The 25,558-nt window shown below is 38.8% G+C and overlaps 1 pseudogene; it reads right to left on the reverse strand.

Annotated features, from left to right (window-relative positions):
- Positions 1-2,989: 2,989 nt before the first annotated feature.
- The window catches only part of LOC102723478 (coxsackievirus and adenovirus receptor-like), a 32,178-nt pseudogene continuing 9,609 nt past the window's right edge, over positions 2,990-25,558 (reverse strand).

Genomic DNA, 25,558 nt, shown 5'->3' on the forward strand with positions numbered 1-25,558 from the left:
CCCACCCCCATCGCGCCAGAGACTCTGACAAGAGAGAACCCCTGCCCCCTGCTCCCCGGACTACAGCAAGGCAGGAACCACCCTCCTCCAGGATCCTCACTATGGCAACTGTGGAACCCCGCCCTGGTACGCCCTGGACTAAGTCACCGAAGGACCCCGACCCCACCACACCGTGAACTCCAGCACTGGAGGACCATTGCCTTACTGCGGACTCAAGCACTGGACTATCGCAGGGCTGGATCCCTGTCCCGCCATGCCCTACACTATGGCACGGGAGGACCCAGCCTCACTGAGCTCTGGACTCCAGCACCGGAGGACACCTACACGGAGGACTCCTGCTCCGCCACGTCCTGGACTCCTGCACAAGAGAACCCCCGCCCCGCGGCACCCTGGATATAGCAAGGCAGGAATCCCGCCCTGCAGTGTTCTGGACTGCGGCACCTGAGAATCCATGCCCCACCGCGCCCTGGACTGCTGCTCCACAGGACTCCTGTTCCACTGCACCCTGGACTATGGCACCAGAGGACCCAGCTCCCGGCAGCCTGGACTATGGCACCAGAGGACCCAGCCCCTCGCATCCTGGACTATGGCACCAGAGGACCCAGCCCCCTGGCGTCTTGGACTAAGGCACAGTAGGACCCCGCAGCATCGTGTACTCCTGCACAGGAGGACCCTCGCAGGGCTGCGTCCTGGACTGAGCTACTGAAGGAGCCTCACCCCTGCCTCACCCTGGTCTAAGGCACTGGAGAACTCTTGCTCCGCAGAGCTGCGGACTCTTGCACGAGAGAACCTGCGCCCAGCCGTGCCCTGGACTGTGGCACAGTAGGGCCCACACCGGGCCATGGACTCCTGTACTGGAGGAAGAGTGGTGATAAATGTCCAGGTTTACAAGTTGAAAAGTAGCAGTCAATGTGCTACAATGGATGGATTTGATGTAAAATTACAAATGCTGAAAACATTATGTGTAATTGCCTAGCCAGATCAACTACACAAGACAAAGAAATAAAAGAAATCCATATAGGGAAGGAAGAGGTAAGATTGTTTCTGTTTTCTGAAAATATAATCTTAAGATACAGAAAATCTTTTTTTATTATTAATGTTCTATTTACTTATTTTTATAATATTTTATAAATAAACTTTATTCATATAAAACAGGCCAAACATCTGACATTCAAAAATGGCTACTGTTATAAAATCAGAAACATAGTCAGAGTGTTGGGAATATTGAAATTTCTAAATCTTTATGAATAACACAATCACTTAAGTTATATCCACAAAGAACAGAAAAGAGGCAAGCTTGAAAATATGAGGATAGAAAGATGTCACAGTGATGTGTTTTTAGAAACAGTACCTTCACCTCTAAGCAACTTTCAGGTAGGTGATAGCTAGCTCATAGGCACCAGAAATTCATAACAGAAATTAAATTACCCAAAAGGCACAGAAGAAAATGTTAACACAAGTATAAAAGTAATTTTATGTAAGGTTAAAACCTATTTTTAAAATGCTTCCAAATATGTAAAACTATACACAAGTCCATTACACATTCAGCTTAAGTTTACCATTAAAAAGTGTACACACAATACTGTAACTGTAAATACATGCCACCGTTTATAATGTAGCATTTACCACCACAGCACCCAAAGATATTAACAGAAACCAACTCCCCACTAAAATCTAGGGAAAGGTTTTAGAGCTAGTGAAATAATTTATTGCAGACCGTATTTATTATAAAGAAACTATTGGCTCATTCTACTGTATCCACACTCCCTCACAATCTTAAGGGAGATACAATAAGTCCACTCTCTTCTCCTAAAATGATATTTAGCACATTTGACAAGGAGGAGTGGTTGCTTTATTCCTTTTTCTTATCTTTTTTTCTTTTTCTTTTTTTCTTTCTTTCTTTTTTTTTTTTTTTAAGAATAAATCACTTTCACAAAACTGAGACTCAAACTTTTTTGAAGCTCAGCTTGATTTGCTGGAACTACACAGAGACATGTTTGATCACACAACAGCAACTGTACATCCTCCCAAGTCTGGAATACGGAATTGATGGAGGACACTTACTTGCTTAAAATGTATTTGATTATTCTGCATTTATGATAAAAATATCATCCAGGGATCATATTCAAGAGGGTAAATTTAGGATTACATGTTTCTAGAACATATAACATGTAATGCCATCCAAAACCAACAACAAACAACATAGAGCACTGAAACCGAAGAGCCACTTAAAATTTAGAATTAGGAAATTTCAATCTATAATTGCCAAACAATAAGTGAGTTATAATATTTTTCTAATTAGAAAAATATCACCTAAAGTGGAAAGCCAGCATTTAGTTGGGGACTATGAGATACTACATCCTTGGTCTGGCTGGCCACCATTTTAAAGACCACCACAGATCTCAAGGCATGAGACCTCTCACCAACAAAATCTATCCCTGCTATTGCACCTAGTGCCATCTCAATATGTGGCAGACAGCAAATGTTCTAACTTAATCTGATAGATGCTCCTTTAGCATATAAAAGAGCTTGCTAAGTCCCTATTACCTGTAGCAGTCTATCAACTAAATATTTAAGAAGTCATTTCATAGGCAAGGTTTATGAATGACTTAGAAGTAAAATTAGTAATTTCTAAACCACTGTAGTGTTTTCTATGTTTTTAGAGATATTCCTAACACAGAGTTTTCCGAGGAGCTGTGAAAACAAGTACAAACGTACATAAGTAATTTTGTCAGGGATGTTTCTGTACTAATTTGGGGGAGACTTGTGGGCCATAAATAAATGAGATACACATCCTAAAAATAATGGTAAAAATTATCAAGTACCACTTTCAGATGGTTACTCAAGTATCAACTTGGTATGCAAGTAAGTTCACGGATTTCTTCACCTATGATTTCATACTCAAAGTGCTACATCTTACTTAGGTACTGATAACATTTAGAAACCTTTATAATCAGCCTCTTAAAGAAAATCCAGCCTTTTCAGATGGTAAACTTGTCTTTACTAACTTTAATGCCCGTAACTATTTCGATATAACCAAACAAAAATTTTTAAAAATATATTCCTTACAGCTCCTGATTAACTTATTTTTTGATACATTCTGAGGCTAGTAACAAAATTTAGACCAGAATAGGTTTTCATATATCAAAAAAAGGAAAGGAACACGGAGAGCACAGATGAGACGTATGGAGGCTCTATACTATAGACCCATCCTTGCTCTGTGCGGGAATCATCACAGGAATCGCGCCCATTCGACTTAGATTAGGGGCAGCTACCTTAGCAGGTGGGAGAGTCGGACTCTGAGGAGTGCGTTCAAAGTCTTCACTTGGTACTTGTTTATACTGAGTCTTGGAATATCCTTCCATGTTGGAAGGAGATATGGATCCCAGGGATGAATGATTACTGCCTATGTAGCTTCTGGCAGTGGACGTGCGGCTCTTTGGAGGCGGCACATCTTCCTTGATATCGTGATGAACTTCCTTTTCATATTTTTCTTCTCTGCACTTTTTACGACAGCAAAAGATGATAAGACCAATGAGCACTAGAGCAAGCAAAGTTCCTATAATGGCTCCTGCAATTAGTCCAGCTTTATTTGAAGGAGGGACAACGTTTACACGCAACAGGCACTGATCAGAGCCCACTCTGTTTCTGATGTACAGCTGTATGTCCCAGAGTACTCAGAAGAAGCATTTTTATAGATATAACAGATGAAGTCATTTCTGCTAACCATGAAGTGGGCATTTTCTGTGAGTCAGACAATTTTTGCCACTCATACTGTAATGGAAGTGAACCTTCTTTTGGTTCACATTTTAATTTAAAGTCACTTCCAATTTCTTCTGATCCATCAACGTAACATCTTGTACCTGAAGGCTTACCAAGAACTACCAGCTGAATCTTCCTATTTGCAACACCAGGAGCTCTTTTCACTTTGCACTGATCTGTGCCAATATCTGACAGCTGAAAATTCGTTACATTTATTGATGCATCACCAGATTTGAGATCATTACTCTTAAAATGTACTCGGCCTTTCAGATCTGGATAGTAGTCATCATAAATTTTGTCTCCAGAATATAAAATAATCACTTGATCCACCTTCTGATTATCAGCTGGTGATATCAGCCACTCGATGTCCAGTGGTCCCTGGTCTTCAGGACTAAGCGTAAATTTGCATGGCAGATAGGCAGTTTCCCCTTTGGCTTTTTCAATCATCTGCTCAGGAGTAGTGATACTCCAACCTCTGATGAAATCCGCGACTCTGCACAGGAGCACGAAGCGCAGCAGGAGCGCCATGGTGGCTGCCGTGCCGTGGGCGGCGGCTGCAGGTAGGCGGCTCTCGCTCCAGGTCCTAGGCTCCCCGCGCCTGGCGCACTCAAGGTAGAGAAAATCTTAAAGACTCCACCACAATAAACGGTTAAAGCTGATAAAGAAATTCAATAAAGTTAATAGTTACAAAATCATACAGATAGCATTATTGTTTCTATACATTAATGACAAACTATTACCTGAAAAATAAATTAATAAGGCAATTCAATTTATAATAGAATCAAAACAGATATAAAAATATGTAAAAGACTTAGGAGTAAATTTAATCAAGAATGTGAAAGATTTGCACACTGAAAACTATAGCACATTGATGAAAAAAGTTAAAATGGCATAAATAAATGGAGAAACATCCTTTATTGATTGATTCAAAAATTAGTATTGTAAAAGTGTCAATGCTACCCAAAGCAATCTACAGATTAAATGCAACCACTATCAAATTCCCAGAAATAGAAAAATTACTGCTAAAATTTGTATGAAACCACAAAAGACCCTGACTAACCAAAGCAATCTTGAACAAAAAGAATAAAGCTGGAGGCATCAGACTACCCGATTCCAAACTATATTACAAAGCTATAGTAATTAAAACAACATAGCAGTGGCATAAAAACAGACATGTAGAACAGTGCAAAGGGATATAGAACCCGTAAATAAATCCGTATGTCTGTGGTCAATTGACTTTTTGATAAAATAACTAAAAATACACAATGAAGAAAGAAAATTATTTTCAATAAATGGTGTAGAAAAAACTGACTATCCACATACAGAAGAATAAAATTTGACTTTTCTTTTGCTCTTTATACAAGCATGAAATCAAAATTAAAGACTTAAATGTAAAACTACTACAAGGAAATACAGAAGAAGACTGTATGACATTGGCCTGAGCTATGATTTTCTGTAGATTATTCCAAAAGCACAGGCAACAAAAGCAAAAACACATGAATGAGATTGCATAAAACTAAAAAGCTTTTCCACAGGAAAAGAAGTGATAATAGAATGAAGAGAACCCACAAATGGGATAACATTTTTAAACCATACATCAGATAAGGGGCTCATATAATAATATATAAGTAACTCAACCTACTCAAACATAAGAATAAAACTATGCTTATTAAAAAAAATAAGCAAAGAACCAGAATAGACATTTCGTAAGGCATACAAAAGGCCAACAGGTACATGAAAAAATCATAAACATTTCTAATTATCAGAGAAATGCAAATCAAAGCCACAATGAGATATCACCTCACACATTTTACTAGGGCTATTATAAAAAAAGATGGAAGATAAGTGTTGATGAGGATGTGGAGAAAAAGAAACCCTGTGCACTGTTGGTAAGAATGGAAATTAGCACAGCCATCTTGGAAAACAGTATGAAGCTTCCTCAAGAAATTATAAATATATTTACCCTATGATCCATCAATCCCACTTCTGGATACGTGTCCAAAGGAATTTTAATCAGTATGTCAAAAACAGACATCTGCAATTTCATGTTCATTGCAGCATTATTCATAATACCCATGAATTAGAAACAACCTAAGTGCTTATCAACTGAAGACTAGATAAAAATATGTGGAAAAATTGGAACCCTTCTACACCACTGGTGAGACTTTAAAATGTAAAGCAGTCTCGCAGTTCTTCAAATGGTTAAACATAGAGTTATCACGTGACCCAGCAATTCCACTCCTATGTGTTTACCAAAAAGAAAATAAAACAAATGCTACACAAACAGTAGTACACAAATGTTTATAGCAACACAAAGTAGAAAACAACAGAAATGTTCATCAGCTGAGGAGTGGATAAATAAAATGTGGTGTGTCCATAAAATAGAATCTTATTTAGCAAGAAAAGGTAAAAAACTGTTAATGCATGCTCCAAAATGGATGAACATTAAAAATATGTTAGGTGAAAGATGTGAGTAAAAAGTGACTATGTGTTATTATAATTCCATTTATGTGAAATGTCCAGAATAGGCAAATTCATAGTCAGAAAGTAGACGAGTGGTTGCCTAGACTAGGAGGGGTTTAAAAAAGACTGGAGAAAATGGGGAAAGATTGCTAATGGGCGCAAGTCTCTTTTAAGGAAAATAAAATGTTCTAAAATTATATTATGATGATTATTTGTCCATCCAGTTAATATACTAAAAGAATTTGAAGTTTGTACTTTAAATGAGTGAATTACACAATGTATAAATTATATCTCAATAAAGCTGTGGAAAGTTAAAAGTATATGTAGGATGCATACAAAAATACTACTTATCTTTATAAATGAATGAAAATCTGTCATTTGCAAAAACATGGATGAATTTAGAGGACATTATGCTAAGTAAAATAAGCCAGACACAGAAAGACAAATATCTCATAGTATCACTTATATGTGAAATCCAAAACTGTGCACTCATAGAAGTTAAGAATAGAATGGTGGTTTATCAGAGGCTGAGCAGGGTGGGGAGCAGGGGTGGAAAAAGGGGAAATATTGAATGGGATAATGCTTCAGTTAGGAGAAAGACATTCTGGTGATATGGTGCACAGCAAAGTGACTGCAGTTACTCATAATGTAGTGCATATCTTAAAAGTGCTAAAATAGTACATTTTAAATGTTTCACCATAATGTAATACATATCTGAGGTGAAGGATACGTTATTTAGCCTAATTAGTCCATTTCACAATATCTACATGTATCGTACCACATTGTACCCTATATATATTTATTTATCAATAAAATCAACATTTTAAAAAGTGAGGAACACAGATGTGCTAGATCTTCATCTAAAGACATTTCTGAGAAAAGTGTATCTGTTTTCTTTCAGAAGAAATTTACACTTAATAGATATTATGGTAACTAAAGTAAGGCAGATAATTTTGGCCATCAGCTTTTATTGTGGGATAATCTCTTTTTGCTGACCTTGTAAAAGCTGTGGCATATTAACAAGTAGGAACATTTTTTTTATCATGATCAGGTAAAGATTCTGCAAGTTTCTATTTTGAATATTTCCCCAGGAATCACAAAGTGTGAATGCCTTTTATTTCAGAGGTCTAGCCCTAAATGGTTTAGTCAATTACATCATGCATTCTGAAATAAGTACTGGTGCATTTGGGAAGGTACTATATATAATTGTGTTTTAAATTTAACTATCATATAAATCTACTTTTCTAGTTAACAGTTTATATTTTATAGAGGCCCTCCATATACATAAGAGCTTTTCTGATAGTATATCCATTAGATTTCAAAGATAAGTAAAGGAACAATTTTGCTTTTATTTATTATTATTATTATTTTTTAAGGCTAGTCAAGTGAAGCAGTGGGAGTGGAGAAGGAACTGCTTTAATTTTTATATGTTGGTGTTACAGGCTATATGTGACAGGCTGTATATTTTTCTGCTGAATTTTAGAAACAAAATGAAATATTTATTTCCTATTTCATTAGATTTAGGGATGATGATTACATTGAGGGGTTGGGACTAGACTGAAGGCACCACATCATCAATCACTTGGAAACAATATTTTGCCTATGTGTTATGTTATATTGACAAAAACTTTTATTGTGGCAGGCAATATAGCTCCCTATTGAAATATGTGAAAAATGTAGAGAAAAAAGGACAATATTAGTTATCAAGGGATATTTAGGCCTGAGATGCATGATGCTAATATTCAAAACATACACTTTTTAAAAATTAGATTTAAAATGTAAATTGAAGCAGAACATTTAGAAAAAGACATAATATCTACTATAAAAGTCCTGGGTTAGAAAAGTTAAAATGCTAAATGAAAAAATAATGCTTCTTGGGTGGCTTAAAATCGAATATGAGACAAAAGATTACTCAGAAATTTTTCTAAGATTAAAAACGTGTATACAGTTTCTTTGATATAAAATGAAATAAATGTCTGGATATAACTTTAACAGAATAGAATAGGGAGACAAGGGCAACGAGCAGGTGTATGTAGAATAAAGTGAACATATTATTGTAATAATGAGAGGGACAGAGTTGAATGATTGCTCTTGGAGACAAGGGATTTTGATGTCTAAGTTAATGACAAATCTTTTGTTTGCAAGTTTAAAAATGTAACTTAAACCTGGTGAAGGAATAAAGGGTGGTTGGAGGGATGATTCTTTGTACACTAAACTTATTTTAATGACTAATGAATTAATCATAAGTTCAAATGATTTTATGGAGGCCCTTTCTTTATTTGATATTTCTGGACTCCTTTTTTCTTTGTGTGTGCTCCATTTTTACCTACTTGAACAATTTTTACCCCCAAAGTTTAGGAAACACTGTAACCAAATGTTCCAACATGATATAATCCCTGAAGGCATTTGCAGCTGGGGGAGTAGGGGAAAAGGGGTTTCTCTTTCAACAAATGCATGTTAACCTCGGTGAAAACTCAGAAGTTTAAACATGGTCCCCCTTGCGTCATGTGGCTACCCCAGGACCAATCATTGCACCAGACATAGGAGATAATCTCAAAAGCCAGGTTGGAGTCAAGGTTCTCCAGTGGAATTTCCACTTTAGAAATCAGTTTTGTCAGGCTTTGTGTTTGCATATTACAGACATGATAGCCATATAGCTATCTATTCCAGTAGAGATGAAAACCTAAGAGCATATGCCCATTCAAAGGATTTTACATGAATCTTCATAGCAGCTTTACTTGCAACAGCCAAAACCTGAAAATAGTCCAAATATCCATGGACAGGTGAATTTGTGACTTATAAACTTACTATGGTATCTGTATATAATGAAATAATACTCCCTAGTAAGAACAGAACAATTGATAGATGTAGCAACATGAATAAATCTCAAAAATAGTGATGCTGAGTGATCAGAAAGTATACATACCCTATGATTTTATGTATTTGGAAATAAAAACTCACGGATAGTGACTAGAAGTGGATCAGTGGTTGCCTGTGGATGGAATGGGGATAGGCAGGAAAAAGTGAGTAGAAAAAGCACAAGGAAACTTTGGTGGTAAAGGTAATGGATATGTTTGCTATTTTCATATGTTGTTGGTTTTGTAGAGCTACAAATGCCAAGAATTATCAAAATGTACAATTGAAGTATGTGCAGTTTATTGCATGTAAATAAACCTTTTAAAAATTAACCGATACAAATTGACTTACATGACCAGAAAGCTCTTGAAAAACTCTCCTGTTTTCTCCCCTATTTTTATTCTTGCATGCCCTTATAGCCTGTGTTAACACATTTCTCATCTTACCGTTATTTTGTGTCTACATTTCACCAAGTCAATATAACTATCACCATAATTTCTTGGTTTCTCTTTAGTTCATTAGTAATTATGAGTAATGTATTGAAATGTTAAAGATATGTTCATGCATTCAGAATGCTCTGCTCTCTGATCCACATAATAGTGAATTATGCTCTCAATAATTACACAGTATAGTACTTTTTTTTTTTTTTTTTTTTTTGAGACGGAGTCACACTTGGTTACCCAGGCTGAAGTGCAATGGTGCATTCTGGGCTCACTGCAACCTCCACCTCACGGGTTCAAGTGATTTTCCTGCCTCAGCCTCCTGAGTAGCTGGGATTACAGGCATCTGCCTTCATCCCCGGCTAATTTTTGTATTTTTATTGGAGACAGGGTTTCACCATGTTGGCCAGGCTGGTCTTGAACCTCTGACCTCAGGTGACCTGCCTGTCTTGGCCTCCCAAAGTGCTGGGATTATAGGCATGAGCCACCACCCCTGGCCAGAATATTGCTACTTTTGCAAATAGCTACAATTGACCCTGATCTGGACTTTGAGTTGATCACAGCTTTGTAAAAGAGGATAGCATTGTAAAACTGCAAAATTAGACTAATAATAACATAGAATGCTTTCAGTATAAGAAATAATACTATCCTAAGCAAAAATAAATAAATAAATAAAACTGGAGGAATTATATTATCTAACTTCATATTATACTACAGAATTACAGTAACCAAAAGAGTAGGGTACTGGCATAAAAAGAGGCCCATAGATCAATGAAACACAATAGAGAACCCAGTAACAAATCTACATACCTACAGTGAACTCATTTTTGACAAAGGTGCCAAGAACATACACTGGTGGGAAATGGTGTTGAAAAAACTGGATATCCATATGCAGAAGAATGAAAACAGACTAGTATCTATCACTGAATACAAAAGTAAAATCAAAGTTGATTAAAGATGTAAAGCTAAGACCTCAAACTATAAAACTAGTACAAAAAAACTTTGGGGGAAATCTCCAGGATATTGGTCTGGGCAAAAATATCTTGAGCAATACCCCACAAGCACAGGCAACCAAAGCAAAAATGGACAAATGGATCACATTAAGTTAAAAGCTTCTGCACGGAAAATGATACAAGCAACAAAGTTAAGAGATAATCCACAGAATGAGAGAAAATATTTGCAAACTACTCATCCAACAAAGGATTAATAATCAGAATATATAAAAAGCTCAAACAACTCTTTAAGAAACAATCTAATAACCTGGCTAAAAAAAAGGGGGCAAAAGATTCGAATAGATATTTCTCAAAAGAAGACCTACAAATGGCAAACAGGTATAAGAAAAGGTGCTCAATATCACTGATCATCAGAGAAATGCAAATCAAAACTACAATGAGATATCATCTCACCACAGTTTATATGACTTGTATGCAAAAGACAGGCAGTAACAAATGCTAGCAGGGAAGCAGAGAAAAGGGAACACTTGTACATTGCTCCTGGGAATGTAAATTAATAAAACCACCAAGGTGAACAGTTTGGATGTTTCTCAATAAACTAAAAGTTGAGCTAGCATATGATCTAGCAATCCTACTGCTGGGTCTCTACCAAAAATAAAGGAAATCAGTATGTCAAATACATATCTGCACTCCCATATTTGTTGCAGCACTGTTTACAAAACTAAGATTTGGAAGAAACCTTAGTGTCCATCAACAGATGAATGGATAAAGAAAATGTGGTACATATACACAATGGAGGACTATTCAGCCGTAACAAAGAACAAGATCCAGTCATTGTCAGTAACACTGATGGAACATTATGGATCATTATATTAAGTGAAATAAGCCAGGTGCAGAAAGACAAATGTTACATGTTCTTACTTATTTGTGGGATCTAAAATCAAAACAAACTCATGGACATAGAGAGTATAAGGATGGTTATCAGAGGCTGGGAAAGGTAGTTGGGGGGGGATTTTGTGGGAAGGTGGGGATGGTTAATGGGTATAAAAATAGAGAGTTAATAAGACCTACTATTTTATAGCACAATAGGGTGACTATATCCAATAATAATTTCATTGTACATTTTGAAATAACTAAGACTGTAATTGAATTTTTTATAACTTGAAGGATAAATGCTTGAGGGGAGGGATACCCCATTCCCCAAGATGTGCTTATTTCACCTTGCATGCCTGTATCAAAACATCTCAGGGACCCCACAGATACATACACATACTATGTACCCACAACATTTTTAAACAATCTAATACAATTTTTTAAATGGCTCTTATTTTTTGTTACCTTCAATTATTGTAAAATATATTCTATTATTTATGATTTGCCTTGTTTGAAAACAAATTTTAAAAACACTATTTAAGACCAGATAAATGGACTAGGAGTAACTTGCATAAAAATGACAGAAATTGCTGCTACTTCTTCTAATTATTGAGATGGTATTTCTATATTTGTGAAATTATCTGATAGAAAATTGAATTGTTTCCAACATTATTTTTCATAATTAAACATGTTATATTGCTACTTCTTTAAAAGTAGCCTTTAAAATATTACCAATCTATTTTAAAGTCTACTTGCCAAAACATTAAACTATTCTTAAAAAAAGTAATTTATTTAATTACCTAACATCCTCAAGCAATGTCCTAATTTTCTCAAGCAATTATCTGATTTTCTCAAGCAATTGATATTAGCAAGTTGTGCTAGCTAACTGCTGAGAATCATTGTCTACATATGAGATAAATCATCTATCAATCCTTTAAAGAAGACTTTATGAGCCATAGAGATTGTAGTCCAATCTGTATCACTGACTTTAAACATTGGATAATTGACACTCCGTGTTGTCTGTAAGCCTATTTCACAGCAGCTGAGTGATGTCAATAGGTACCTCTTGGAGTGCCATTTTCCTTGTAACCCTTAGATTAATTCAGATTGACTGAGTTCTGTGTCAGTGGAAATTGCCAGAATTATATCATGCTGCTTTGCATCTAGTTTCACTTTTCCAAAAGCCTACACAGATTTCAGATGTTTAGAAAATAGCTCTTGTTTTCCTTCTGGGTAATCTTTTTCATGTCACCACTCTTGTCAGCATCTGCATTGGGCAAATTTCCTAGGACCTCCCTTCTGCGTCTTTTAAAATATGAAAACAAAATCAATGTAGCGCAGCAAGCCAGGGAAAGTCTGCTTTGATTGACTTACGGCCATAGTCACCCAGCAGTTCCTTCAGATGTGGCTTCCCAGGTCAGCCACTGAGCCCACCGCTGTTCTCCTGCCTGCAGAAGTGGCTCTGTGAGCCGTTTGAGGAGAAAATGGGGGACTTTGGGCTTCAGCCCGAGGAGAACACGGTGGAGATGGAGGAGCCCCTGGGCGTCCGCAGGTTAACTGAAAACATGAGAGGACACAAGCACGGGACCAAGTCTGTCACTAACCTGTAAAGTACTCTCACCAAGCCGACCGGGCACTTTGTCTGAGCGCCTGCCTTTGCCACCACTGTGTGCAGGAATGCCTGGGGCATGACTGGGCCATCCCAGTGTTCTTATTTCTATACATTCCGAGGTTACCCCTCAGCAAAACGCCAGAGGCTGGCAGACACAGCGGAGCATCCTGCAGTAGGGATCCGAAGCCGTGGAATCTCCAAAGGACCACTTGACCGCGTCCCAGAAGCTCCAGCTCAGGCTGGACATTGCCCAGAAAGCCCACATCGTCTTTGGCAAGACCTCCCGGATTGTGGTTTTGATTTGCATTTCTCTGATGGCCAGTGATGATGAACATTTTTTCATGTGTCTGTTGGCTGCATAAATGTCTTCTTTTGAGAAGTGTCTGTTCATATCCTTCGCCCACTTTTTGATGGGATTGTTTGATTTTTTCTGGTACATTTGTTTAAGTTCTTTGTAGATTCTGGATATTAGCCCTTTGTCAGATGGGTAGATTGCAAAATTTTTCTGCCATTCTGTAAGTTGCCTGTTCACTCTGATGGTAGTTTCTTTTGCTGTGCAGAAGGTCTTTAGTTTAGTTAGATCCCATTTGTCAATTTTGGCTTTTGTTGCCATTGTTTTTGGTGATTTAGACATGAAGTCCTTGCCCATGCCTATGTTCTGAATGGTATTGCCTAGGTTTTCTTCTAGGGTTTTTATGGTTTTAGGTCTAACATTTAAGTCTTTAATCCATCTTGAAAAGTTAATAATAATAAAAATAATAATATGGAAGAAATTTAAAAAAAACCTCCCAGAGACCAGGAACTTGGGGCGCGCGGCCTGAGATCACCCCAAGCTCTGGGTGCCTTCCTGTCCTTCTGCTTCTTCCTTGGCCGCTTTAGGGGGCGCGCCTTGCCATGCGTCTCCCTGCGGGCGGCGCGGTGGTGCTCCTGGATGTCACCTCCAGGCGCTTTTGAGACTGCGACCGGCACTGGGCACCAGGCACCTGCGGATTGGCCTCCCCACGCCGGGTTCAGGGACCTCCAGCGCTCCGCGGTGCAGGCTGCAGGCGACCTCAACGTGGAGCTGCTGCCAGCGCCACAGGCCCCAGGGGAGGCCCAGGATGCTGCTTCCCCGCCCCAAGAAGGGCAGTTTGGAGGAAAGTCTTTGGCCTGATGGAAGGCGGCGCCCATCGGGGGCGGGGCTGAGAACTAGGCCGGCGCCGCTGCCTGGTAAGCGGGGACCAAGAGGCCCACGGCCTCCATCAGGAACCAGGTGCTTCTCCAAATCCCGGACGTCCAGGAGGAACAACGGCGTCAAGCTGGCTGACACCAGGAACACCCAGAAGTCCCCGCTCCTGTCTGTCCTTCCGCACTCAGGAGCGGGGATGGCCACAGGGACACCATCTGCCCACAAACCGCTGGCGTTTGCTGCCATGGTGCGCGGAGATGCGGTCCCCGAGGAGGCCACTTTCGGCCAGGACGCCGGGATCGTATCAGCGGCAGCATCCCGCGCTGACACTCAGTATTGACTTTCCCCGGACATTGCTGGATTTTTTCCTTTTTAAAACAATTTTGCAGTGGGAGAACAAAAAAGGGCATCCTCAGAGCTTTTACAAAATTCTCCTGGACCTGTTGTTCTATGGTGTTCACCTCTGCGTTTTACGCACCACTAATGGGCCAGAGCTCCTAAGGCCTATAAAGGCCCCACCCAGCGCTTTAGACACCCCTGAGGGACACTCGCGGCTCAGGAGGATAAATGTTCTCAGGGGCCTGCTGTGAGGAGGACATGCAGCCCCTCAGCCACCACATCTTCCTCCATTCCAGCCTGGAAAGAGAGACCTTGCCCTCCACCTTACAGGCCTTCCTGACCTTGGGACCCACTCTAGAGGCCACGCGCATTTCCACTGCCAAAGCAATGACACAGGAGATGGAAAGAAATTCTTGGCCAGGCGCGGTGGCTCACGCCTGTAGTCCCAGCACTTTGGGAGGCCAAGGCGGGCAGATCACGAGGTCAGGAGATCGAGACCATCCTGGCTAGCAAGGTGAAACCCCGTCTGTATTAAAAACACCCAAAAGGTGGCCGGGCTTGGTGGCGGGCTCCTGTAGTCCCAGCTACTCGGGAGGCTGAGGCGGGAGAGTGGCGTGAACCCGGGAGGCGGAGCTTACAGTGAGCCGAGATTGCACCACTGCAGTCCAGCCTGGGGGACAGAGCGAGACTACGCCTCAGGAAAAAAAAAATTATTTTGCCTTCACTATATGCCTAAGTAATTTCTCTATTAGAGCCCAGAGTCATGGGGCCCACACCGCCAGCTGACACATGAAAGTGTGGCAACGATGTGGTGGTGTCTCTGTGTGGCAGCGTGGTGGTGTGTCTGTGTGGTGGTGTGTCCGCATTTCTGTGTGGTGGTGTGTCCGTGTGGCAGAGTGTCTGTGTGGTGCTATGTCCATGTGGTGGTGTGTTCATGTATCTGCATGGTGATGTCTCCGTGTGACAGTGTGTTTGTGTATCCGTGTGACAGTGTCTGTGTGTCCTTGTTTCCACATGGCAGTGTCTGTGTGGTGGTGTCTGACAGTGTGGAGGTGTGTCCATGTGACAGTGAGGCGGTGTGTGTGTGTGTGGCAGTGTCCATGTGGCAGTGTGTTTTTGTGTTCGTGTGAGTGTGATGGTGTGTCCATGTGACAGTGTAGTGATGTCTCTTGTGTGTGTCCCTGTGATAGTGTGGTGGTGTGTCCATGTGGTGACGTCTCCGTGTGTCTGTGTGTCCCTGTGATAGTGTGGTGGTGTGTCCGTGTGGATTTCTCCGTATGTCTGTGTGTCCGTCCATGTGAATGTGCCAGTGTGTCCATGTGACGGTGTCTCCGTGTGGTAATGTCTCCGTGTGTCTGTACATGTGACAGTGTGGTGGTGTGTGCGTGTAACAATGTGGCGGTGTTCCCTTCCCGGCTTGCGGAGCTGGCGTCTTTCCCTCTCAGCCCAGGACGCCCCAGGAGACCCCCAGCTTGGAGGGCAGGAGGTGGCTTCTGTGGAGGGAGGCGCAGGGAGCCCCAACAGCCGAGTTTTGGGGTCCCCTGCATTGGGTGGGAGTGAGGAGAAAGGTGCCCGGGCAGCCAGGACAAGCCTGGGCCTGCCCTAAGGAGGTGACCCACTCCGGGCCTGCATTTTGGGGCGAGCACTCCAGCTCGGTCATCTTGTCCTAAGTCCTTTGTGTGCCGTGGAGATTGCTGAGTTTTGAAGAAGGGAAGGTCATCTTTGTCGCGGAAAGCCTGATGTGTTTCTCTATTGCTGTCACTTTTCAGCCTCATGGCTGGCGAAACATCAAACATTGGGCACCTTCTGCCAAGAAAACTCCCGGAAGAAAATGTGGGGACTGGCAGTATCCAACCAGAGGAGTCACACACAGATTTCTGTTTGGTTGGAGATCGGCCGTTTTTCCCTGTGGGTGGGGGAAGCGCAGCAGCTCTGCAGCGGGAAGGAAGGGGGGTTCTGTGTGGCCAGGAAGGTCCTGGCCCGGGGCGGAGGGGCCAGAGGTGATGTGCGGCGAAAGGCTGTGCAGGGCAGCGGGCAGTGTGCATCGCCCCTACTGCCGGGCGCCCAGGAGGAGGACAGGTCCCGGCCTGGCAGGAGCAGAGGCGACGGGGCTGGAGTCCCCGCACCAGGCTTGAGGGCCGGCGGAGCCGCAGGCTGTGGCGGAGGGGGACTCCCGGGCACCTGGTGGGTGTCCCCATGACCAGGATGCACACCGGGCTCCGGAGGCCAGGCGGACCAAGCTAGGGGTGCCAGGGGAGGCTCGAGGTTCCCTCGGTGGGAGGTGGGTCCCTGGACCCTGGTCTCCTGCTGCTGTCCCCCCTTCGCTCAGGGGCGCCCCGCCAGGGTCGCCTATCTGGGACCTCAGCGCAGCTCCTAGTGGGCGGGAGGCTGAGGCAGAGGCCTCCGGGCCCAGCTGGGTCTGCAGTTTCCACCACTCGTGATGCAGGGCGAGCTCAAGCTGTGCCACCCAGGCAGGAAACCCTCCGACCTTGCCAGCTTTGGCGCCAGCCTTGGTGACTCTCTCCAGCTCAGCTTCAACACCTTTCAACAGTTCTGTGTTCTCTATTATCACAAGAATTCTTTCTGTATTTCCTATCCTTTATCAAATAGGAATTTAAATATGCATATGGAGTGATTATCACAGTTGAAACATTAAACAATATACAATTTCATGTGTCTTTTTTGTTTAATGTATAATTTTCTAAGAAGTAAAATTATGACTCTACTGCAAATATAAGATAAACACATATCAACAATGTTTTTCAACTCAATAAGCGATGAGGGTTCCAGTAACAGGTTCAAATCATTGCAAGGAACATTAAAGGAGCTTTACAGCCAATGTTAACGTCAGATCGCTGGGTACTTACAGTACTGGTTAGTATCCAACATAGCCAGAAGCTGTCATCTTTGTGAGTTCTCTCTTCCATGGCACAGAAATGATGCGTTTTTCTACTGTACAAAATATTTATCTTTTCTACTACTTCTGCACATAAAAATATTGCTAGTCAGAAAAGACCAGAATTGCACTGAAAGAAAATCTCAGTAATATCTCTCACCTGTATTCTTACTTTTTCTTCCTTTATGAAATATCTTTCAACTGCATTTTCTATCTGAAAGTTTATAGAGAGATGAAAATGAATAAAAGCATAGTAAGTGAATATTTTGATAACATTTTGCAGCTTTATTCATGTCTAACGAACATAAAACACACTTCCAATATTTAAAGTGTAAATGAGATGAATTTGATATGTACATGTGCCCATTAATCACCATGAAGGGGACAATGAGCATATCCAATACTCTCAAAGCTTCCCAGTTCTCTTTTGTAATGCACACTCATACCTCTCAGGTGTGAAGTATTGAGCTTCACACACACACACACACAAATATATACTGGGATATCTAATTGTTTCAGAAGCATTTGTTGAAAATGTTATGTCCATGAATGGTCTAAGAACTTTATCAAAAATTAGCTGATAGATGATATACATGTGTATATCTATATTTGTACTACATTGTCTTAAGTATTACTGTAATGTTATAAGTCTTGAATCCAGGTGCTGTTAATTCTCCAGCAGCACCTGGTTTCAAAGTAACTGTTTCCTTTCAAAGTAATTTGCCATTATAGGTCCTCTACCCATCGATGTACATTTCAGAATTTTAGTTTCTCAATTTCTAAAATAAGAAATCCAGCTGTGATTTGATTGGAATTGTTATAGATCAATGTGGAAAGAGTAGACATCTTAACAATATTGAGATTTATGACTCATAAATTCCATTTATTTAGGTCTCGTTTATTTTAGCAATATTTTGTAGTTTTGTAGTTTTCAAATGTTTCTCTTTTTTGCTGGTTTATCTCTAAGTACTACATATTTTGATATTTACAATAATATCAAAATTATGGTAATATTAATGCAAATGTTGTTTTATTTTTTCCTCCATTAATTGTCAGGTAGTTTTAAATCATAATTTAATTGTATGATAAAACTGAATTTTGCGAGAAATGTATACATATTGTATATATACTTTTTTTCAGTTTGGCAGATTGACTGCATTATCATATCATAATTTAAAATTGCACTAATTACCACTCAGCCTCCTCTCAAGGACAATATATCAAAATATATAGCATGTTTCAGTTTACTTAGCATCATGAAACTCTCATATTGCACTTACTTTTGGAAACCTGGAATAATAAAATAATGTAAATGTCAGTTCACAGGCGACATATGAGTACATGCGACAATTTTCTAAATATCGACCTATCGCTCTTTAATTCTATGTTAATATTGTCAATTTTTTCCTCCTCTTGCAACTCTCTTATGCAGCTTATTGACTTTTGGTTCAATTCCTTCCCTGTTTTCCCCCCAATCTACTTTCTAATATTTTACTGATGTTGTGCTCCTTTTTATTTGGACACTTTTAAAAAGCTGTGTAATTTCTCCTTTGTATTAAAATGCAAATCCATATCCAAAATAAATGAGCGGAGGGACCAAAAAGATGTTTGTGCAGCGTGTCCGTTAGCAATATTATTCACAATAATCAAAGGGAGGGAGCAGCCCATGTGAATATTGATGGATGAGTGGTTAAACAAAATGTGGTATATACGGCAACATAATAATATTCAGCCTTAAAATATATTCTCACACATGCTACAAAATAGATGAAACTTGAAGACATGCTAAGTGAAATAAGCCAGTCAGAAAAATTCAAACATTCTATCATGCCACTTCTATGAGTTACTTAGTGAAATTTGTAGAGACAGAAAGTAGAATGGTGATTGCTAGGGGGAAGGAGAGGGAGAGGAATGGGAAGTTGGTGTTCAATGAGTAAAGCATTTTAGTTGGAGAAGAAGACAAGTTTTGGAGGTCTATGGTGGTGACTGTTGCACAATAGTGCAAATATACTTAATGCCACAAAACTGTGCACTTAAAGTGATTAAAAAGGTAAATTTTATGTTGTGTATATCTTTCCAGAATTATAAACCTGCCATCACAGTATAGAAATAGAATATATTATATAGCGTTAGGTGATGATATTTTACACATTTGCACATAATTAGAATTTCAAAGCCTTAATTTCAGATACGGTAGTCTAAGACATAACAATATTGATGTAAGAAAGCCGTAAGAAATGTTTATTTTCAATCAGATTTACTAAAAAAATTTATTGAACTGGTCAATTTTCTTTGCCAATATTACTGTATTCTTATTTCTAGTAATAGAGGTGTGAGAAAGCATCAAGGAAACTAAAATTGCATTCTCATACTGACTGCATACAATAATTCTGAAAACAGCAGAAGTTATGTATATCCCCCATAAGTAAAACATGAGTAACACAACAGAACAAAAATTAATAGGAGACAATTCAAACAATGGTGACCTGTTATTCTTATCTAGTTAAGTACTATTCTTTTCTAACAGGAATTTGCTATTTCAAATATATTATCTGAGATGTCTATATTTATATTTTGAGATGCCATACAAACTTGAGTCAATGACATAGAATTTTACAAATCAAGAAGCTTATTCTGGGGTCATTTCTTTTGACATTAAACTACTAAAGAGGCATTAATGATCCATAAATTATATTATCTACATTTACAGCATTTAAAATGTGTTCAGCATGAAATATTAGTTACAGGATAAGTGAAATAAATTAAACATGGAATAAAGATTTATCCTTAAATATAAATTACAAGAAGACTTGGTATTAGTTTTTCACAAGTGAAGCATTCTTATAAAATGTCATAACCTTTTTGGGGAAACTCTGGGAAAAATGGAGAAACTCTGAAGGGTTTTAAGTATCTTTCCTGAAGCTACAGACTCCATAATCTCTCTTTACAGGGAGCTCCTGCAGCTCCAACAGAAATGAGTGGCTGAGATTCCTGGTTGCAGAGCAGAGCTTCTCATCCAAACCCTTTCCCTTTTTAGTGTCTGTGTATCAGTATAAAAGTTCTATAAACTGTAGTTACTTATTTTAATCCCAAAGCACAGTAACAATATATTTCATCCAAGGGTTGGCAGTTTCTGTGAGTGTTTTGTCTAATTCTCCAAAACTCTATCTACAGGATTCCAAACAGCCTAAAAAGTAAAATATTTTAAAAAGGGGAAAGGGAGAAAGGGAAAGAAAATAAAATTAATAGCCCATTCTGTCACTGTTATTAAACACCAGAATACCTTTCTGTTAATCTAATTAAAATTAGTGACATCATTTAACATTTATGTCTTCAACAAAAGTTTGGAATCCTGAAAAAGACATTTAATTTCCTAATAAATATATTTGAATTGAATTGAAATCCTTACATATTACTTTAAATAAAGAACACAAGATGATTTATGATGTAGAAAATTCTATCCCTCATTGTCCAAAATCTAATAGTTAAATTGAACTTGTTAAATAATATTTTTGGCCAGGCATGTGGCTTACATCTGGAATCCCAATACTTTGGGAGGCAAAGGCAGGTGGATTGCTTGAGCTGAGTAGTTGCAGACCAGGCTCGGCAACATGGTGAAACCCAATCTTTACCAAAAAAAAAAAAAAATTTTAGCCAGGCGTAGTGGATTGCCTGCCTGTAGTCCCAGCTACTCAGGAGGATGAGGTGGGAGGATCACCGGAGCCTGGGGAAGCTGGGGCTGCAGTGAGCCATGATTGTGCCACTGCACTCCAGCTTGGGCAACAGACTGAGACCCTGTCTCAAAGAAAGACAGAAAGAAAGACAAGAAAGACAAGAAAGACAAGAAAGACAAGAAAGAAAAGAAAGAAAGAAAGAAAGAAAGAAAAGAAAGAAAGAAAGAAAGATAAAGAGAGAAAGGAAGGAAGGAAAATTAATAGTTTTGGTGGCAATAATCTTTATGGAATTTTGCTTTAATGAAATAGATTTAACTAAGTAGTGACATGATCTGCTTAAGTGTATTGACCCTAGCAATCAGAGGCCTCCGTATCCCCACAATGACTTAACAGTTACATTTGACAAGCCTTGATTCTCCTATCCTACGCACAGCATAGTCAGAATTTCAGAATTCCAACTTTCCCCATGCTATTTGGGCACGTTGCTTAACATCTCTAAGACTCGATATTTATACTCTTAAGATACTACTAATAATAGTACCTAGTTTTTATGATATAATGTGCATCAAAAGCATTATACTTTCAGGCAGATGGCAATTCCTCAATAAATATTTGCTAATGTTTTAGTACAAACAGGAAAATTGGATTATGATATTTATGACACTGTTGATTCTCCTTCTAGAAACATTTGTTTCTAAAACTTGTTTTCAAATTAGAGCACTATTTTGTATTCAGATTGAAAATACTATATGTTCAGATTTTTTAAAAAACAGTATTGCATGAATGTTTTAATTAAAATATTCCTAAATGAGCTTGAGCAAGGAGGACAGGGGAGATAAGTAAAATAAGGCTTTGTGGCATAGGAGACATTTGGTGGAAATCTTTCAGCTCAACTAAGATTTGAAAAAAAAAGAGAATTTTTATAAAAAATGTAAAGGCAGGATTTACACTGATGAGCTTGTGGAGAAAATACAGAGTCTAACATAATTCAAAAGAGACTAATCAGTCAAAGTGGTTTTGAAGGAATATCTTGAAGAGAGAGAACATAAAATGAAGATCAGGTATGTAGTTATTTTAATAATCTATCCATGAGATAAAAAGCATTGGGTTTTATTTGTCAAAATGGGACAATAGTTCCAAGAACCATTATTTGCTCAGCCTAAAGAGGTTTTTACATTTTGAACCAGCGACATATTGTGCTAAGTAGGATAATATCCAAATTTGTGTCTATATCAATAATTTTGTTCTCAATTAAAAACACTTTATTCACACAACTGATGATTATCTGCATTTGATTTAGTGCTGAACTGTCAAAGGGGGACTAACAAAAACAAAATATTAGAGTTGCAAGCAGTGTAAGTGGAAAATAATGATCATATTGAACTCATCATTACTGAAATAAGAAAACAAAGCAAAAAATAAATAAGAAAAAAATTGACTACGTGAACATTTGCTTCTCTCCTAAGAATCAAAACCCTTAATTTGCTGTGGCAAAAAAGCATCTGGGTCCATGAACCCATGCAAAAGTCTACTGTTTCTGGGAGATAAGAAGAAGCAAAACACATCAGCTTCCAGAGAAGGTTAAGAAACCTCTCATACCCTACCCTACCCCACCTGACACCAGGCAAAGGATCACTGCTTCTGGGAGAGGGATGCAAGAAAAATACTCCTCCATCAGGAGAGGAACAAGGATTGTTTTGGGGCCCAGGATTTTGCACTAATGCAGAGTCGTGCTACTGTGGTAAAGGTTTGGAAAGTCTCCATCCAGTGACCACAGACAAAGGTACATTGTTCCTATGGAAGGAGAAATAAAAGAGTTTGCCCTTATTGTGGGGTTGAAAACTTGCAATGATATAAATCAGGGGTTTTCTACTACTGAGGTGGGAGGAGGGTAAGGTATTATTTCTTCTGCAAAAAACAACACAGGTAAGTGACAGTTTGACTCCCACTAGAAAAAGAGTCAAGAAGTGTTAAAAATACCCCATCTCTGAGTGTCCAATGATGAAACTGGCTCAAAAACAACACAAACCATCCCTCTGTCCCCAACCTGAATTTTTTGCCTAGTCACACACACACACACACAAAATGATGTTCTACAGTTAGAGAAGAACAAGAAAGTGGAGAGAGACCCTCTCTATAACATAGGTTGTAAGGACTACCGAAAGCTAACTGTGGAACAGGATCATTGGCATATGCTCTCCAGAGTCTAAGGCCCCACACAAGGCACATCATATAGCAGTCTACTGCTGGAGAAATCTGAGTTACATTGTTCACTGAATGTTTCAGACACCGCAGCAAAAAGCAACCTTTGTTCCTGCCCACACTAATAGCACGACACAAACAAAAATGAAACAGAAATATAAAACAATCTCGACATAAATAATTATCTCATGATCTACTGTTTTTCTACATCAGATGATTTGCATTTTTTAGAAATTGGGAGACACATAAAAGCAAGTTAGAAATTTGAGTTATGAGTTATAATATTTTCAAAGGATAAAAAGTCAACAGAATCAAATTCAGAGATAATTCAGATGTTGGAACTAAATGAAAGTAATTTAAAATAATAATGATCAAAATGTTAAAGGATCTAGTTAAAAAAAGACAACATGTATGGAAAAATGAGGAATTTCAGCAAAGATGGGAACAGTAAAAGGCAAAATCTAGAAATAAGTGAAAGCATGAGAACAGAGATGAAGTATTACATCAGCAAGCTGATTAGCAGACTGGTCATCAGAGTTAAAGAAAGAAGCAGTAAATTTTATACTAGGTCAATACAAATCATTTGAATGGTAGCACAAAGGGAGGAAAGAGAAAAACCAAATAAACCAATGAACCAAGCAAATAAAATACTCCAGTGAATCAAAGAATTTTCTGGTAATATGAAATTAACCAAAATACAATTAATTGGAATTACAGAAGGAGAGTAAAAACAGAATGTGAGAGAAGAAAAATTTGAAAAAGATGACTGAGGAGACCAAATAACCTCAAAATATACAAGAAAGATTAATACAAAATTTAAAGAACGCTAGAATAATCACACTAGTGAAACTGCTGAAAACCAACGATTAGCATAAATCTTGAATTCAGTCACAGAAAAAATAAGAACACTGTGTAGAGAGATAAACAGAAACAAACATTGTAATGAACTGCTTGTCAGTAACTCTACAAGTCAGAAACCAATGATACAAAATTCTTAAATAACTGAAGAAAAGTCAACCCCCAATCTTATATCCATTAACTGTAATACAGCAAAAATAACAATTAAATGACATTTGCAGATTAACACTGGAAGAGTCCCTTGCTAACAGGTATGCACTAAAATAAATGTCAAAATCATTTCTTGAGGCAAAAGGAATATGGAAGCAGGTGAAAGTTGAAACTACACAAAGAAATAAATAATGCCAGAGAAGATATAAAGATATATAACCCAATTATTTTACATTGCTCTAAAGATAATTGATTGTCTAATTTTTTAAAAAAAGAGTAACTTTATATTATGGAATTCATAATATTTGAGACTATAATGCATGACATAAATAGTATAAAGGAGAGAGGAAACAGAAATATACATTTTAAGGTTTTTATACCATAGTTGGTATAGTACAAATTATAGGTTACTGTAATAAGCTAGAATAGGTATTGAAATCTCTAGAGAAACCATGAACATTTTTAAAAAATGGTATGTGCATTAATGTTTTCATAGAACTTCCAGCTTTTATTTATTTGTTTGTATTCATTTAATTTTATTTATTTTTTTTGAGATGGAGTCTCGCCCTGTTGCCCAGGCTGCAGTGCAATGGTGTGATCTCAGCTCACTGCAACCACCTCCGCCTCCCAGGTTCCAATGATTCTCCTGCCTCAGCCTCCTGAGTAGCTGGGATTACAGGTGCCCACCACCATGCCCAGCTAATTTTTGTATTTTTAGTAGAGACGGGGTTTCACCATGTTGGCCAGGCTTGTCTCAAACTCCTGGCCTCATGATCGGCCCACCTCAGCTTCCCAAAGTGCTGGGATTACAGACTTGAGACACCGTGCCAGGCCCCAGCTTTTAGTTTTTAAGGTAGTTGTTGTGTTATTACATGTGAAGTAAGGTTATTCTTAAATATCCATGTTTTGAGAATTAATGATAATGACAAGTTAATTTATCTCAATCTAAATGATTTTAATATTAAATATTTAAATATTTTTATTACTTTTCCTTTTTAACAGAAGTCATTCTAACTGGTGTGAGATGGTATTTCACTGATGTTTTGTTTTGCATTTCTCTGATGATTAGTGATGGTATGCATGTGTTAATATGTTTGTTGGCCACATATGTGTTCTTCTGAAAACTGTTCACGTTCTTTGCCCATTTTTTAATGGGGTTATTTATTTTTTGCTCGTTGATTTGCCTAAGTCTCTTATGGCTTCTGGATAATAGGCCTTTGCTGTATGCATAGTGTGTGAATATTTTCTTCCACTCGGTAGGCTGTCTGTTCAATCCCTTGAGAGTTTCTCATGCTGTGCAGAAGAAGCTCTT

Source organism: Homo sapiens, assembly GCF_000001405.40.
Source record: "Homo sapiens chromosome 15 unlocalized genomic scaffold, GRCh38.p14 Primary Assembly HSCHR15_RANDOM_CTG1".
In the NCBI taxonomy this organism is placed as follows: Eukaryota; Metazoa; Chordata; class Mammalia; order Primates; family Hominidae; genus Homo; species Homo sapiens.